At 44.0% G+C, this 17,764-nt stretch overlaps 1 pseudogene; it reads right to left on the bottom strand.

Moving 5' to 3' along the window:
• RBM22P12 (RNA binding motif protein 22 pseudogene 12) lies at positions 13,168 to 14,409 on the bottom strand (annotated as a pseudogene).

Raw genomic sequence — 17,764 nt, 5'->3', positions numbered from 1 at the left:
TCTCTCTCCTGCTGCCTTGTGAAAAAGGTGCTTGCTTCTCCTTCACCTTCCACCATGATTGTAAGTTTCCTGAGGCCTCCCCAGGAAACAGTTAATTGAACTGTGAGTCAATTAAACTTCTTTTATTTATAAATATCCAGTCTCAGGTAGTATCTTTATAGCCATGTGGAAATGGACTAATAAAAAAATACATAGTGTGTACTCTTGCCACACATATGAAACTCAATTTCCATGAATTACCATGAGAAAAAAACAAATTAACCAGATTGAATCAGGGATGGAACTGATCACTACTGGGATGAAATACACTCAAATAGATTAAAATGTTGCTTGCAGTGTGTGTGTGTGTGTATGTGTGCATGCTTGTGTGTATGTTGGTGTGTGTGTATTTGTGGTGTGTGTGTGTAGTGTGTGCATGCATGTGTGTGTAGTGTGTATATAGTGTGTGTGTTGTTTGTGTGGTGCAGGTGATGTGTATACTCTGGTGTGTGTGCTGTTTGTGGTGTGTCTGCATGTGTGGTGTGTGTGTAGTGTAGGGTTGTGTGCTGTGTGTGTACGTGTGCTGTGTGTGGTGTGCATGCATGCGCATGTGGTGTGTGTAGTGTGTTTGTTGTGTATCTGTGTAGTGTGTGTGGTGTGCATGTGTACTGTGGTGTATGTGGTATGCATGTTTTGTGCATGCATGTGTGTGCTGTGTGCATGTGTGTGTAGTATAAGTATGTAATATATGTGTAGTATATGTATGTCGTGTGTGGTATACGTGTGTGTGGTGTGTGTGTATGTGGGGCGTGTGTGTGTTTTTTTTTTGTGTGTGTGACAGAGTCTAGCCCTGTCACCCAGGTTAGAGTGCAATGGCACGATACTGGCTCACTGCAACCTCTGACTCCCGGGCTCAAACGATTCTCCTGCCTCAGCCTCCCGAGTAGCTGGGATTATAGGCATCCACCACCACACCCAGCTAATTTTTTATTTTTAATAGAGATGGGGTTTTACCATGTTGGCCAGTCTGGTCTTGAACTCCTGACCTCGTGATCCACCCTCCTCGGCCTCCCAAAGTGCTGGGATTACAGGCGTGAGGTGTGTGGTGTTTTTCAGTGTGTAGTGTCTGTGCGTCTGTGTGCACATACGTGTGTGGTGTGTGTGTATGTGTGTGTGGTGTGTGTGGGTGTGTGTGTGTGTGTGGCGTACGTGTGTTTGTGCATGCATGTGTGGTGTGTGTGTATGTGGTGTGTGTGTATGTGTGCATATGTGTGTGATCTGTGGTGCGTTTGTGTGCATATGTGTGTGGTGTGTGTGTGGGGTGTGTGTGGTGTGTGGTTTGTGTGGGGGGTGTGTGTGGGGGTGTGTGTGTGTGTGTGGTGTGTATGGTGTTTGTGTATGTGTAATGTGTGTATATGGTGTTTGTGTATGTGTAAGGTGTGTGCATGTGTGTGCTGTGGTGTGTTTGCCCCTGAGTACCAGAAACGCTTCCTGCTTGAACTAAAGAAAATGCTCTGAGTTTTTTTAAAAAGTACTACTCTATGGAACCCAGAATCCTCCCACCTAGTAGGTGGCTCTTCAACCTCAGGTTTCAGTGTCAGCTCCTTTGAGAGCAGCCACCCAGCAGACCAAGTGCAGTGGGTGGGGAACATGGTGGGGAAGCCAGGGATTTTCTAGAGGGCGAGGCCCTAATTTGGGAGAATTCTGTGAAAGAATACATTCCCACCCACAGCCAGGAGCTAAGTCCTCATTTGGGCTCCAGAGGCAAAGTGATAGCTTCTCACCCCGCTGTTTTCTCCCCCACTCTGAAGGTGATCACCAGGTGGCGGCTGAAGATCAAAGATAAATATCACTAGACAGAACAGGCTGTCTTTTCTTTTTTTTTTAATCATACTTTAAGTTTTAGGGTACATGTGCACAACGTACAGGTTTGTTACATATGTATACATGCGCCATGCTGGTGTGCTGCACCCATTAACTCGTCTTTTAGCTTTAGGTATATCTCCTAATGCTATCCGTCCCCCTCCCCCCACCCCACAACAGGCCCTGGTGTGTGATGTTCCCCTTCTTGTGTCCATGTGTTCTCATTGTTCGATTCCCATCTATGAGTGAGAATATGCGGTGTTTGGTTTTTTATCCTTGTGATAGTTTGCTGAGAATGATGGTTTCCAGCTTCATCCATGTCCCTACAAAGGACATGAACTCATCCTTTTTTATGGCTGCATAGTATTTTATGGTGTATATGTGCCACATTTTCTTAATCCAGTCTATCATTGTTGGACATTTGGGTTGGTTCCAAGTCTTTGCTATTGTGAATAGTGCCCCAATAAACATACGTGTGCATGTGTCTTTATAGCAGCATGATTTATAATCCTTTGGGTATATACCCAGTAATGGGATAGCTGGGTCAAATGGTATTTCTAGTTCTAGATCCCTGAGGAATCGCCACACTGACTTCCACAATGGTTGAACTAGTTTACAGTCCCACCAACAGTGTAAAAGTGTTCCTATTTCTCCACATCCTCTCCAGCACCTGTTGTTTCCTGACTTTTTAATGATTGCCATTCTAACTGGTGTGAGATGGTATCTCATTGTGGTTTTGATTTGCATTTCTCTGATGGCCAGTGATGATGAGCATCTTTTCATGTGTCTTTTGGCTGCATAAATGTCTTCTTTTGAGAAGTGTCTGTTCATGTCCTTCGCCCACTTTTCGATGGGGTTTTTTTTTTTCTTGTAAATTTGTTTGAGTTCATTGTAGATTCTGGATATTAGTCCTTGGTCAGATGAGTAGGTTGCAAAAATTTTCTCCCATTCCGTAGGTTGCCTGCTCACTCTGATGGTAGTTTCTTTTGCTGTGCAGAAGCTCTTTAGTTTAATTAGATCCCATTTATCAATTTTGGCTTTTGTTGCCATTGCTTTTGGTGTTTTAGACATGAAGTCCTCGCCCATGCCTATGTCCTGAATGGTATTGCCTAGGTTTTCTTCTAGGGTTTTTATGGTTTTAGGTCTAACATTTAAGTTTTTAATCCTTCTTGAATTAATTTTTGTATAAGGTGTAAGGAAGGGATCCAGTTTCAACTATCTACATACGGTTAGCCAGTTTTCCCAGCACCATTTATTAAATAGGGAATCCTTTCCCCATTGCTTTTTTTTCTCAGGTTTGTCAAAGATCAGATAGTTGTAGATATGCGGCATTATTTCTGAGGGCTCTGTTCTGTTCCATTGGTCTATATCTCTGTTTTGGTACCAGTACCATGCTGTTTTGGTTACTGTAGGCTTGTAGTAAGTATAGTTTGAAGTCAGGTAGCTTGATGCCTCCAGCTTTGTTCTTTTGGTTTAGGATTGACTTGGCAATGCGAGCTCTTTTTTGGTTCCATGTGAACTTTACAGTAGTTTTTTCCAATTCTGTGAAGAAAGTCATTGGTAGCTTGATGGGGATGGCATTGAATCTACAAATTACCTTGGGCACTATGGCCATTTTCACGACATTGATTCTTCCTACCCATGAGCATGGAATGTTCTTCCATTTGTTTGTATCCTTTTTTATTTCATTGAGCAGTGGTTTGTAGTTCTCCTCGAAGAGGTCCTTCACATCCGTTGTAAGTTGGATTCCTAGGTATTTCATTCCCTTTGAAGCAATTGTGAATGGGAGTTCACTCATGATTTGGCTCTCTGTCTGTTATTGGTGTATAAGAATGCCTGTGATTTTTGCTCATTGATTTCATATCCCGAGACTTTGCTGAAGTTGCCTATCAGCTTAAGGAGATTTTGGGCTGAGATGATGGGGTTTTCTAGATATACAATCATGTCGTCTGCAAACAGGCACAATTTGACTTCCTCTTTTCCTAATTGAATACCCTTTATTTCCTTCTCCTGCCTGATTGCCCTGGCCACTATGTTGAATAGGAGTGGTGAGAGAGGGCATCCCTGTCTTGTGCCAGTTTTCAAAGGGAATGCTTCCAGTTTTTGCCCCTTCAGTATGATATTGGCTGTGGGTTTGTCACAGACAGCTCCTATTATTTGGAGATATGTCCCATCAGTACCTAATTTATTGAGAATTTTTAGCATGAAGCGTTGTGGAATTTTGTCAAAGGCCTTTTCTGCACCTGTTGAGATAATCATGTGGTTTTTGTCTTTGGTTCTGTTTATATGCTGGATTACATTTATTGATTTGGATATGTTGAACCAGACTTGCATCCCAGGGATAAAGCCCACTTGATCATGGTGGATAAGCTTCTTGATGTGCTGCTGGATTCGGTTTGCCAGTATTTTATTGAGGATTTTTGCATCGATGTTCATCAGGGATATTGGTCTAAAATTCTCTTTTTTTGTTGTGTCTCTGCCATGCTTTGGTATCAGGATGATGCTGGCCTCATAAAATGAGTTAGGGAGGATTCCCTCTTTTTCTATTGATTGGAATAGTTTCAGAAAGAGTGGTACCAGCTCCTCCTTGTACCTCTGGTAGAATTCGGCTGTGAATCCATCTGTTCCTGGACTTTTTTGGTTGGTAAGCTATTAATTATTGCCTCAATTTCAGAGCCTGTTATTGGTCTATTCAGAGATTCAACTTCTTCCTGGTTTAGTCTTGGGATGGTGTAGGTGTCAAGGAATTTATCCATTTCTTCTAGATTTTCTAGTTTACTTGGGTAGATGTGTTTATAGTATTCTCTGATGGTAGTTTGTATTTCTGTGCGATCGGTGGTGATATCCCCTTTATCATTTTTTATTGTGTCTATTTGATTCTTCTCTCTTTTCTTCTTTATTAGTCTTGCTAGCGGTCTCTCAATTTTGTCGATCCTTTCAAAAAATCAGCTCCTGGATTCATTAATTTTTTGAAGGGTTTTTTGTGTCTCTATTTCCTTCAGTTCTGCTCTGATTTTACTTATTTCTTGCCTTCTGCTAGCTTTTGCATGTGTTTGCTCTTGCTTCCCTAGTTCTTTTAATTGTGATGTTAGGGTGTCAATTTTAGATCTTTCCTGCTTTCTCTTGTGGGCATTTAGTGCTATAAATTTCCCTCTACACATTGTTTTAAATCTGTCCCAGAGATTCTGGTATGTTGTGTCTTTGTTCTCGTTGGTTTCAAAGAACATCTTTATTTCTGCCTTAATTTCGTTATGTACCCAGTAGTCATTCAGGAGCATGTTGTTCAGTTTCCATGTAATTGAGCGGTTTTGAGTGAGTTTCTTAATCCTGAGTTCTAGTTTAATTGCACTGCGGTCTGAGAGACAGTTTGTTATCATTTCTGATCTTTTATGTTTGCTGAGGAGTGCTTTACTTCCAACTATGTGGTCAATTTTGGAATAGGTGTGGTATGGTGCTGAAAAGAATGTACATTCTGTTGATTTGGGGTGGAGAGTTCTGTAGATGTCTATTAGGTCTGCTTGGTGCAGAGCTGAGTTCCATTCCTGGATATCCTTGTTAATTTTCTGTCTCATTGATCTGTCTAATGTTGACAGTGGGGTGTTAAAGTCTCCCATTATTATTGTGTGGGAGTCTAAGTCTCTTTGTAGGTCTCTAAGGACTTGCTTTATGAATCTGGGTGCTCCTGTATTGGGTGCATATATGTTTAGGATAGTAAGCTCTTTTTGTTGAATTGATCCCTTTACCATTATGTAATGGCCTTCTTTGTCTCTTTGGATCTTTGTTGGTTTAAAGTCTGTTTTATCAGAGACTAGGATTGCAACACCTGCCTTTTTTTGTTTTCCGTTTGCTTGATAGATCTTCCTCCATCCCTTTATTTTGAGCCTATGTGTGTCTCTGCACGTGAGATGGGTTTCCTGAATACAGCACACTGATGGGTCTTGACTCCTTATCCAATTTGCCAGTCTGTGTCTTTTAATTGGAGCATTTAGCCCATTTACATTGAAGGTTAATATTCTTATGTGTGAATTTGATCCTGTCATTATGATGTTAGCTAGTTATTGCTCGTTAGTTGATGCAGTTTCTTCCTAGCCTCCATGGTCTTTACAATTTGGCATGTTTTTGCAGTGGCTACTACCGGTTGTTCCTTTCCATGTTTAGTGCTTCCTTCAGGAGCTCTTTTAGGGCAGGCCTGGTGGTGACAAAATCTCTCAGCATTTGCTTGTCTGTAAAGTATTTTATTTCTCCTTCACTTATGAAGCTTAGTTTGGCTGGATATGAAATTCTGGGTTGAAAATTCTTTTCTTTAAGAATGTTGAATATTGGCCCCCACTCTCCTCTGGCTTGTAGAGTTTCTGCTGAGAGATCAGCTGTTAGTCTGATAGGCTTCCCTTTGTGGGTAACCTGACCTTTCTCTCTGGCTGCCTTTAACATTTTTTCGTTGATTTCAACTTTGGTGAATCTGACTATTATGTGTCTTGGAGTTGCTCTTCTTGAGGAGTATCTTTGTGGCATTCTCTATATTTCCTGAATTTGAATGTTGGCCTGCCTTGCTAGATTGGGGAAGTTCTCCTGGATAATATCCTGCAGAGTGTTTTCCAACTTGGTTCCGTTCTCCCCTTCACTTTCAGGTACACCAATCAGACGTAGATTTGGTCTTTTCACATAGTCCCATATTTCTTGGAGGCTTTGTTCATTTCTTTTTATTCTTTTTTCTCTAAACTTCTCTTCTCGCTTCATTTCATTCATTTGGTCTTCCATCGCTGATACCCTTTCTTCCAGTTGATTGAATTGGCTACTGAGGCTTGTGCATTCATCACGTAGTTCTCATGCCATGGTTTTCAGCTCCATCAGGTCCTTTGAGGACTTCTCTGCATTGGTTATTCTAGTCAGCCATTCGTCTAATTTTTTTCAAGGTTTTTAACTTCTTTGCCATAGGTTCAAACATCCTCCTTTAGCTCAGGTTTGATCATCTGAAGCCTTCTTCTCTCATCAAAGTCATTCTCCGTCCAGCTTTGTTCCATTGCTGGTGGGGAGCTGCATTCCTTTGGAAGAGGAGAGGCCCCCTGATTTTTAGAGTTTCCAGTTTTTCTGCTCTGTTTTTTCCCCATCTTTGTGGTTTTATCTACCTTTGGTCTTTGACGATGGTGATGTACAGATGGGTTTTTGGTGTGGATGTCCTGTTTGTTAGTTTTCCTTCTAACAGTCAGGACCCTCAGCTGCATGTCTGTTGGAGTTTCCTGGAGGTCCACTCCAGACCCTGTTTGCCTGGGTATCAGCAGCGGAGGCTGCAGAACAGCGGATATTGGTGAACAGCAAATGTTGCTGCCTATTCGTTCCTCTGAAAGTTTTGTCTCAGAGGATTATCCGGCCTTGTGAGGTGTCAGTCTGCCCCTACTGGGGGGTGCCTCCCAGTTAGGCTACTAGGGGGTCAGGGACCCACTTGAGGAGGCAGTCTGTCCGTTCTCAGATCCAAGCTGCGTGCTGGGAGAACCACTACTCTCTTCAAAGCTGTCAGACAGGGGCATTTAAGTCTGCAGAGGTTTCTGCTGCCTTTTGTTTGGCTATGCCCTGCCCCCAGAGGTGGAGTCTACAGAGACAAGAAGGCCTCCTTGAGCTGTGGTGGGCTCCACCCAGATCGAGCTTCCCAGCTGTTTTCTTTACCTACTCAAGCCTCGGCAATGGCGGATGCCCCTCCCCCAGCCTCACTGCCGCCTTGCAGTTTGATCTCAGACTGCTGTGCTAGCAATAAGTGAGGCTCCGTGGGCATAGGACCCTCCAAGCCAGGCGGGAGATATAATCTCCTGGTGTGCCGTTTGCTAAGACTGTTGGAAAAAGTGCAGTATCAGGGTGGGAGTGACCCGATTTTCCAGGTGCCATCTGTCACCCCTTTCTTTGACTAGGAAAGGGAATTCCCTGACCCCTTGCGCTTCCCGGGTGAGGCGATGCCTCGCCCTGCTTCGGCGCACACTCAGTGCAGTGCACCCACTGTCTGACACTCCCCAGTGAGATGAACCCAGTACCTCAGTTGGAAATGCAGAAATCACCCGTCTTCTGTGTCACTCACGCTGGGAGCTGTAGACTGGAGCTGTTCCTATTCGGCCATCTTGGTTCCACCCTTTTCTTTTCAATTAAAAAAAATTATTATATATTTATGAGATACAATGTGATGTTTGATATATGTATACAGTATGGAAAGATTCAATTGAGCCAATTAACATAGCCATCCACTCACCAATTTAGCATCTTTTTTGTTGTGAGAATATTAAAAATTGAATATTGTGATTTAAATGTACAATTCATTATTAACTGTGTTCACCATGCAGTACAATAGAACACACTTATTCCTCCAGACTAAATAAAAGTTTGTATCCTTCCATAAACATCTTCTTTTTCCGTATTCTTCCCGTCCCCCTGACCCAGCCTCTGGTTGCCACCTTTCTAGTCTCTTTTCTCTGTTTCTGTGAGATCAACCTTTTTGATTCCACGTATAGGTGAGATCATATAGTATTTGTCTTTCTATGCCTGGTTTACTTCACATAGCAGAATATCCTCTGGTTAAATCCAAGATATCACAGATGACATAATTTCCCTCTTTTTTATGGAAAAATAGTTCTCCAATATATATATACACCACATTTTCTTTTCTATTCTTTCTTTCTTTTTTCTTTTTCTTTTTTTTTTTTTTTTTTTTTTTTTTTTTTTTTTTTTGAGACAGGTTCTTGCTCTGTTGCCCAGGCTGGAGTGCAATGGCATGATTTCAGCTCACTGCAACCTCCTCCTCCTGGGTTCAGGCTATTCTTCTGACTCAACCTCCTGGGTAGCTGGGATTACAGGTCCCCACCACCATGCCCAGCCAATTTTTGTATTTTTAGTAGAGACGGGCATGTTGGCCAGGCTGGTCCTGAACTCCTGACTTCAAGCCATCTGCCCGCTTTGTCTTCCCAAAGTGTGGGATTACAGGCATAAGCCACCATGCTCAGCCCACAGTTTCTTCATTCATCCATTGATGGACACTTGGGTTGCTTCCATATCTTGATTATTGTCAGTAATGCCAAAATAACCATGAGGGTAAATATCTCTCTTCAATATACTAATTTAAATTCTTTTTGATATATACCACAAAAGTGGAATTGCTAGATCATAGGATACCTTTTTTTTTTTGATGGAGTCTCACTCTGTCACCAGGCTAGAGTGCTGTGGCGCATTCTCGACTCAGTGCAACCTCTGCCTCCCAGGTTCAAGGGATTCTTCTGCCTCTGTCTCCCAAGTAGCTGGGATTACAGGCATGCGCCACCATGCCTGGCTAATTTTTGTAGTTTTAGTAGAGATGGGGTTTCACTATGTTGGCCAGGATGGTCTCGATCTCCTGACCTCGTGACCTGCCCGCCTCAGCCTCCCAAAGTGCTGGGATTACACGCGTGAGCCACTGCGCCTGGCCAGGATACTTTTATTTCTAGTTTTTTGAAGAACGTCCATACCGTTTTCAGAATGGCTGTACTACTTTACATTCCCACCAATAGGGTACAAGAGTTTTCTTTTCTCCACATCTTTGCCAACACTTGAAATCATTAGTCTTTTTGATAAGAACCGTTCTAACAGGCCTGAGGTGATAACATTAACATTGCTTTCCTTTTTTCTCAATTAAGTGGTCAGAATTTTGTATTTAATGTCTTTAAATGGCCTCATACCTATAATCCCAGCATTTTGGGAGGCTGAGGCAGGCGGATCACCTGAGGTCAGGAGTTCGAGACCAGCCTCACCAACATGGTGAAACCAAGTCTCTACTAAAAATACAAAATTAGTTGGGCGTGATGGCGCTCACCTGTAATCCCAGCTACTCGGGAGGCTGAGGCAGGAGAATTACTTGAACCTGGGAAGTGGAGGTTGCAGTGAGCCAAGATCACACCACTGCACTCCAGTCTGGGCAGCAAGAGCGAAATTCTGTCTCAAAAAAAAAAATGGCCTCAAACTCCCACTGAAAATGATTTCTCATGGCATTAGCATAATTTCAGACTACTCATCAGAATGATGAAGTCCCATGTGAAATGACCTGGAGTGGGGAGGGCAGGGAGGAAGCTGCAGCCAGAACAGACAAAGGAGAAGGGCTGGGATGCCTGTGGAGCTAGTGGTGAAACTTGTGAACCCCAAGTACCTGAGATGGGTCTCAGTCAATTTACAAAGTTAATTTTGCCAAGGTTAAGGATGCATGCCTGTGACACAGCTTCAGGAGGTCCTGATGACATGTGCTCAAGGTGGTCAGGGCAGAGCTTGGTTTTATACATTTTTAGGGAGAAATGGGATATTAACCAATCTATGTAAGATGAACATTGGTTCAGTCCTGAAAGGCAGGACAACTCAAAGCAAAGGCATGACAAACGGTTACATTCTTTTTTTTTTTTTTTAAGATGAAGTCTTGCTCTTGTCACCCAGGCTGGAGTGCAACGGCACCATCTCAGTTCATTGCAACCTCCACCTCCCGGGTTCAAGCGATTCTCCTGCCTCAGCCACCCAAGTAACTGGGATTACAGATGCCTGCCACCACGCCCAGCTAATTTTCATATTTTTAGTAGAAAATATGAAAATAACTTTCAGCCTCTCTCCCTCCTCAGAGGTTGGGGTGGGGCTAAGAAATGGTCTGTTACAGTGAAATTGTATCTACAGTCAAGAGACTGTATCATCCAGGTGAAGAAGTGGCATTGCTTCTACATGTGGAGAGAGGATGCCTGTTCCCAGGCTGCAACACTGATTCTGTGGTGCAAGAATTCTGCTGGCTTCATTTTTGAATTCTTTCCAGTTCCTCTCTGTCTGTTAAATCAGTGAAAGGTAAATAAATATTGGAACCCCAAAATCACTCATCTAAAGGGAAAAGTCAAGTTGGGAACTGCTTAGGGCAAACCTGCCTTCCATTCTATTCAAAGTCATCCCTCTGCTCACTGAGAAAAATGTGTATCTTGTTGCCTCCTTTGGAAAGGCTAATTAGAAACAAAACAATGCAACCTTGGTCGGGCGTGGTGGCTCACGCCTGTAATCTCAGCACTTTGGGAGGCCGAGGTGGGCGGATCACCTGAGGTCAGGAATTCGAGGCCAGCCTGGCCAACACGAAACCCCGTCTCTACTAAAAATACAAAAATTAGCCAGGCGTGGTGGCGGGCACCTGTAATCCCAGCTATTCGGGAGACTGAGACAGGAGAATCACTTGAACCCGGGAGGCAGAGGTTGCAGTGAGCCGAGACTGTGCCATTGCACTCCAGCCTGGGCAACAGAGAGAGACTCCATCTCAAAAAAAAAAAAAAAAGAAAAGAAAAAAGAACTGAATTATACAACTCCCAGGCTATTGATTCAGAGAAATCTCCATACATTTTGGTGACAGAAGACACAGAAGTATTCTGTATTGATTGTCGAGTGAGGAAAAAGGAAAAACACTTTGGTTGATTTATTTTTTCTATATCTCTCTGAGTTAGAAAAGTGAAAAATAAGGTGGGGATGTGTATATATTAATGACAAAAGTTGTTCAAGAGAAAGATGTATCAAACTGGCATCTACAAAGGCGAAGTAAAATGGTTTTGATAAACTTATCCCAAGAAATGTGGAGAAACAGGTCTAAGAAACACATTCTATTGGAGGAGACCATCGTGTTTGTGAAAATCTCCCTGGGCAGTTCTCACACGCAGCCTGGGTTGAGATCTGCATCCCTAGAAGAAGAGGGTTATCTTTGTCATGCACTGTTCTGAGGAGAGGGGTGACCTTAGTGCTTCCTCATCTTGTTTTTTTTGAGACAGAGTCTCGCTCTGTCACCCAGGCTGGAGTGCAGTGGCACGACCTCAGCTCACTGCAACCTCTGCCTTCTGGGTTCAAGCGATTCTCCTGCCTCAGCCTCCTGAGTCGCTGGGACTACAGGCACATGCCACCACATCCCGCTAAGTTTTGTATTTTTAGCAGAGATGGGGTTTCACCATGTTGGCCAGGCTGGTCTCCAACTCCTGACCTTGTGATCCACCTGCCTCAGCCTCCCGAAGTGCTGGGATTATAGGCATGAGCCACCGCGCCCGGCCTGTCCTTACTCATCTTAATGTGCCACAGGGACGCGAAGACTTCAGTAACTGGGAGTCACACCCAGGTGCAGATTAGAACTCTCTGCTGAGGGTTTTACCATCCTGTGAGGTCTCATCCCAGAGATTCTGATAGGATGATCCAGCTTAGGGCCCTGGCATCAGCAGGCCTGAAGCTCCCAGGAGGCCCTGATGCACTGCCAGGGCTGGGCCACTGACCCCCAGAGGGCCCCAATGCCCAGGGAGCTTTTTCCCCTGAGGTAATGAGGAGAGCTTCCTGGACATCTTGGGGCCTGGGGCAGAGGACTAGGGTGTGACCGAGGAGCTCTTCTTGAGATAGACTCTGGAGGGATGTGTGGGTTCTATACTAATGTGTTTTTCAAATCTGTTTAAGGCTGTTTCTCTTCTTGAGGATATGTCAGGAAATGCTTGTGTTCAGCTTTTGAGCTTAGGGAAACTCGTCAAACCTAAGGAAAATTGTTTCCATAATTTTTGGGTAAATGAAAATAATTTCTGATCCCATGATACAAAGCTCCATGAAGTTCACGTTTTCATCTGACTCATAGAAATACAAAAACATTTTATTTTTGCCTTCTTTTTGGTGGGTACAGATTTCTTTGGTGATAAATGACAAAAAGAGAGGAAGGAAAATATCTGGGCTGTGATGGGGACTGGTCTCTACCTGTTTTTCTGAGGGTGTGGCTTCAAAAGAGTTAAATCACACACACCACTACAAAAATTAGGAATACCAATCCCTTTCTTTTAAGATAATAAAATGGAAAATACCCAATGGACACAAACATGTTCAAAAGGTTTTTTTTTCCTCTCAAGCCAATTTCCACCCTCATAAAAAGAGACAAATGATTATATGATTGGATGCTAACTCCATTGGACATTCTATAACTCACTCAGCTGCTCGTCCCCCATAGAGGTGAGAGGAACAGGCAGTATGTTTTATTAGTCATGTTATAGTAGTAAACATGTTTTAATGAAAGCTTATTTGATTTCCATTGATCCTTTGAATCCATATGAAAAAGCATGGCTGTCATTTCCTGCCCATATCTGACCACATTCAGATGCTCTGGGAACCATAAATAAAGAAAAAAAATATTTACTCCAATGTTCATTAATTGGGATTTTAAGTTGATGTTCCTTCCATAGAGCCTGAGGGTGGTGAAAATGTGACAGGGGCTGCTGTGGTTTCCAGAACGAGCTCCCATCCTCTGGGGGTCCTGAGATGGATTGATCCTGGAGTCCAACACAGGATCCAACACAATGGATTGATCCTAGAGTCCTCTCAAAAGGAAGGCAATGGTCCCATTGGATGGAACATGGGTGGCTGAAATCCTGGGGGGAGCAGCAGGACACACCAGGGGCTGGTGGCCAGGCAATGCTCACCACAGCTGGAGGAGCATGTGGGTGTATGTTGCTGTGGTTGGCAGATACATCTGTTGCTACTGCAGGAAGAGGAAGAGTTCCTGTTCCTGGCAGTGCTGGAATAGGCGTTAGCTGGATCCCAGCCTGCGGTTCTGTCCTTTTTCTTTTCCTCTGACTGCTTGGGATCCTCTCCATTTTCTACGGAGTCTGCAGCCCTTGACAATCAACTTATTAAAGGATTTCTCTGCAGCCACTTCTGTAGCCTGCCCTGTGGAAACCTGGACGAAAGCACACTACTTTCTGGTCTGCACAACAGTGATCACTCAGATCTTCAAATAACTAGAAATGATTATTTAGATCTGTCTCAGTAATGGCATCACCCAGATCACCAACACAGAGTCTGGTGATAACCTTGTCCTCTGGTGGATCTGGACAAGACATGGTGAAGCCTGCTTTAGAAGCTTATCTGCTCCAGAGTCATTGATTCCATATCAGTCTTTAATATTCTTATCAGCAAGGGGGTCATCTGGATCTGTAGGCTTCCCATGTCTGTGTGGGCCCTCTTCTTCTCCCTCACACTCTCCTTTCACCCAGAAGGAGCAAATGTGCTTATTCCTTTGGTAGTAGGGTGTGGTCTGTGCCAGTTTGTACAGCACGTCACTGGTGTATGTGACTCTCCCAGCTGGCCAACTAGCTGTGTTCTGTCTGTTATATTCTGCATATAGTACTCTTCATTGATGTCTGACTTTGCCAAGTCATCTTTTAAAGACAATTCTGTATCATGAACCTGAATGGACAGGCCATACTCAAGGACTAAGAGGCAGGCCTGGCAGATGTTCCTCAATGTCCTGCAGGCTTGGCACACTTCAGTCTTCTTGAAATGCATGTGGATCCCAGGGTACCAACAAAACACTGTGTATGGCCTGGAATAGATTTTCCATTTTGTCTCATACTTTTCTTTGGTCATTCAGATATACAGGTTTTCTCCAAGACATGTCTGGCACAGAATGGAGAAGTTTACGTCTTCCCAGTTTTGCTTATTTTAGGTATTGGAACCAAGAAATGTCACCGTCTTGAGAGGGTCTAGAGGCAGTGGTAGCATTCGAGGTGGTAGCCAGGACCGCCACACACCCATCAGCCCAACTCTTCTTCATGCCCCTATTCTTGAGACCCTGGGCAATTGCCTTTGACACCATGATTCCTCTTTTTTGTCCCAAGGTGAAACTCTTCCAAGGAATCCCCATTCTTGTAGGAAGCTCTGGATTTCCTGATCTCTCCAAGGACTGGCCTGGAAGGGACAGAGAAATGCGAATGCCCTTTGAAACTACTCACAGCGTATAGTTGAGTGGTTTCCAAAGACCCCCTCTATGCTGCCAAGCCCTAAGCATGCTCTCGTATCTGTTGTTGGGAGATAATAAAACCTTAAATGAGAAGAGCAAGAACCAGGATCCCTGGGAGAAGTAACGTCTAATCCTTAAACTCATGGACATGTCAGGAAGCACCTGTCTGGATATTTATCATGCTCAATAATGGATAAAGACACCTGAACAGTGAATGAATGAAAGGATTTTCAGGCTAAGTATTTCTGCCCTGGAAGGGTTCTTCTTTTGTTTCAGGCATAGTGATCTGCCCTGAGAAGAGAGCTTGGGTCACCTTCTGGTCACCAGGTGTTGCTTGGCAAGAGCCCCATATATAATGAGCCATAGACCCATCATCTATTGAGCTGCCTTTGTTGCCCAGAATAAAAACTCAGGGCTACCAAAAGTGACTGAGGCTAGAACAGAGAGATTGTGGGTTGGTGTGGGAAGAGAGCTGATTCAAAAAATTAAAGAAAAAGGTATTCTAACATAAGACAATCTCTATTCATGCCTTGCCTACGAGTTGATTAAATATGGGAAATCATAGTACTGAAAATAATTATCTAAAATTCTAACTACCAGGAACTGAGCTACAATATTTGTGTCACTGTAAAGTAATAGAGAATTTATCTCAGTCCAAAATTAATAACAAAGAATTTCAAAATCAATTTAGAGCTTTGTTTTCTGTGTATGTGAAAGAACAAGGTCCAGACTCCCTCCAGCATCAAACAAATAGAAAGTCAGATCCACTATGTGACCCAAATATGTCCAGACCCTGGAAAGTGTCTGACAGGAGCACAGGATAGTGGTCTGGAGGCTGAATCCAAGGGAGGGGACCCCCTGGCTACCCCAGCTCAGAGCCTGCAAAGAGCATCCAGGAGGGAGTGCAGGCAGGCAGGATCCAGGCAGAGCATGGAGATCCCTGAGTTTAGGAAACAGGGTTGAGAATATAAGGAGAAAGGCAGCTCTGCAAGACACAGGGCTGAGTACCAGAGAGTAGGAGGCAGTGGCTGAACTAGAGGTAAGACTGAAGAGTAGAAGGTGGAGGTCATTGAACCATTGGCGGATACAAGGGTAATTACCAATGAAACAAATTTGTCCCAGTGAAAAAGGGAATAGGAACCCTGATTTTTTCTTTCTGAGCATTTTTTTAAAGAAAAAATATCCTTATGAGTTTCTTCTCTGTCCCTTTGTGATATATGGAAGTCTCTTCAAAAGTTAAGTAACCTCTTGCCAGCTTCCAACCAGGACTATCTTTCTCAAGGGCCTGGGAGCCATCTCTGAAATGGAATCATTAAGGGAGAGAGTTCCTGTGAGAGGGTAGGAGCCCAACTTCCGCCAGTGCCTGGCTCTAACTTACTAACCTACTCTTGCCATAAATTGTGAGACACTGGTCTTTTCTTGTCATAAATCCGATTAGCGAGCACTGTGGCTACCCTCGAGGGACATATAAAAATAGTGCTGTCAAGTCACTTCCTTGAGGACTGGTTGCTGTTTATCTCAGGAACACGCAAGCACTGGTTGTAACTGCCTGCCTATACACAAAGGTGAGATTTCCTTCTTTCTTGCCATGCGCTAAGTTATTGTCTGTTTTGTGCATCACAATGTGGTTTAATGATTCTTCAATGAAACTGTTTTCTTTCTCCTCTGTCTTTCTGGAGAGATTTCCTGGGTTTGCAGGAGACTTTGTTGTTAATCATATTCTTCACCACAGACAGTGACATCACTATGCTAGAGCGGAGCTCAAGACCTGAGTGGCAGCATCTCTCCTTGCTGATGCAGCCAAGGCCCCAGGGCCCAGGAAGGGATGCCACCACCTGGAGAAGAGCCTCAGATGGGAACTAATATCAGTAACTTGATATTTCTGCTTGGATAATGGACAAACTAGAGATAGCTCAGTTTAATCTATTCACAACCAAGCATTTCAGTTCTGGGGAAGACAAGACTAGACATATATGTCTCTATTCTTCCCAATAAGTACAACTAAAATCCCTGGACATTATACATAAAACAAAATGGAGAAAGCTCTAAAAGGTACATTATTGGCCCTGCCAGGTGAAGAAAAAGAGGTCCTATGGCTTTGGGTCTAAGGATATGCTGCAGAATGTTTACTAAATTCAGGACAGTATGACATGGCCCTGAACAAGTAGTCAGTTTTTCAAATATTTGAGCCATACTTGTAAGGGCAGCACACACGGCCAAAGTCACCCTATTCAGTTCCTGATAATCAACTTTCATTCTCCAGTTCCCTTCATGTTTTGGCACCAACCACACCAGGCTATTTTGTGGGCTATGTGCAGACACACAAATCCCACCCTCTCCAGTTTCTGAATAGTAGCTATTATCTTGTGTGCCCTCCTGAGAGGCAATATTGTTTGATACACACCAACCCTCTTGGGTGGAATAACATCACCAGCTTCCCTTTGGCTTCCCCTCAGAGCATCCTCACCTGGAGACAGAACTTGCCTAAGCCTGCTTCAAGGACAACTCCCAGGAGAGTTTCAATACCCAACATGTGCTGTGGGATTGGGGCTCACTAGAGCCAAATTCCAAGCAGTTCCAAAGCAGACAAATGAATCGTTCTTCCCACATGAGCCTCTAGTCTCCCTCAGTGGCCTTACACTGAAGGGAACCTTGGACTTTATGTCACATCTGGGGCTGTGGTTCTCTTTTAACTCTCTGTCTCTTTGCTTCCAACAGTTGGAACCCAGAGCTCCTACTGCCCAAAGCTTCCCTAGTGCCAGGACTGGAGGCCATGGGCTCCCCACATGCCTCTCCACAGAGCCCCTCTTTTTTCACCTTACCCTCCATGTGGGCAGCTAACAGAGTGGCCCATGGTGGAAGAGTACAGGTCTTTCTGGAGTTGCAATTCCTTCTGTAACTCATGACCTTGCTCTCAGCCACCAGCTGAGCAGGCTGCCCATGGCACAGAACAGCCTATCCCTTTCCTCCCCACCAACTGTTACTGGGCTTCCTTACTGCTGACCCATCGCAAACCCTCCATGAGGCTCCCTCAAGCCTGTAGAGCTTTGCGGCATCTTGGCCTTCCCGGGGCAGCCCACAGGCATCAGAAAGATGGGTGACAGAGCCCCACATAGTCCCTTGTAGGCACTCTGAGATCTTTCTGGTAGGATTCTG

The sequence above is a fragment of the Homo sapiens genome, chromosome 16, assembly GCF_000001405.40.
Source record: "Homo sapiens chromosome 16, GRCh38.p14 Primary Assembly".
NCBI lineage: Eukaryota > Metazoa > Chordata > Mammalia > Primates > Hominidae > Homo > Homo sapiens.
This window is presented reverse-complemented; position numbering and strand designations above follow the sequence as displayed.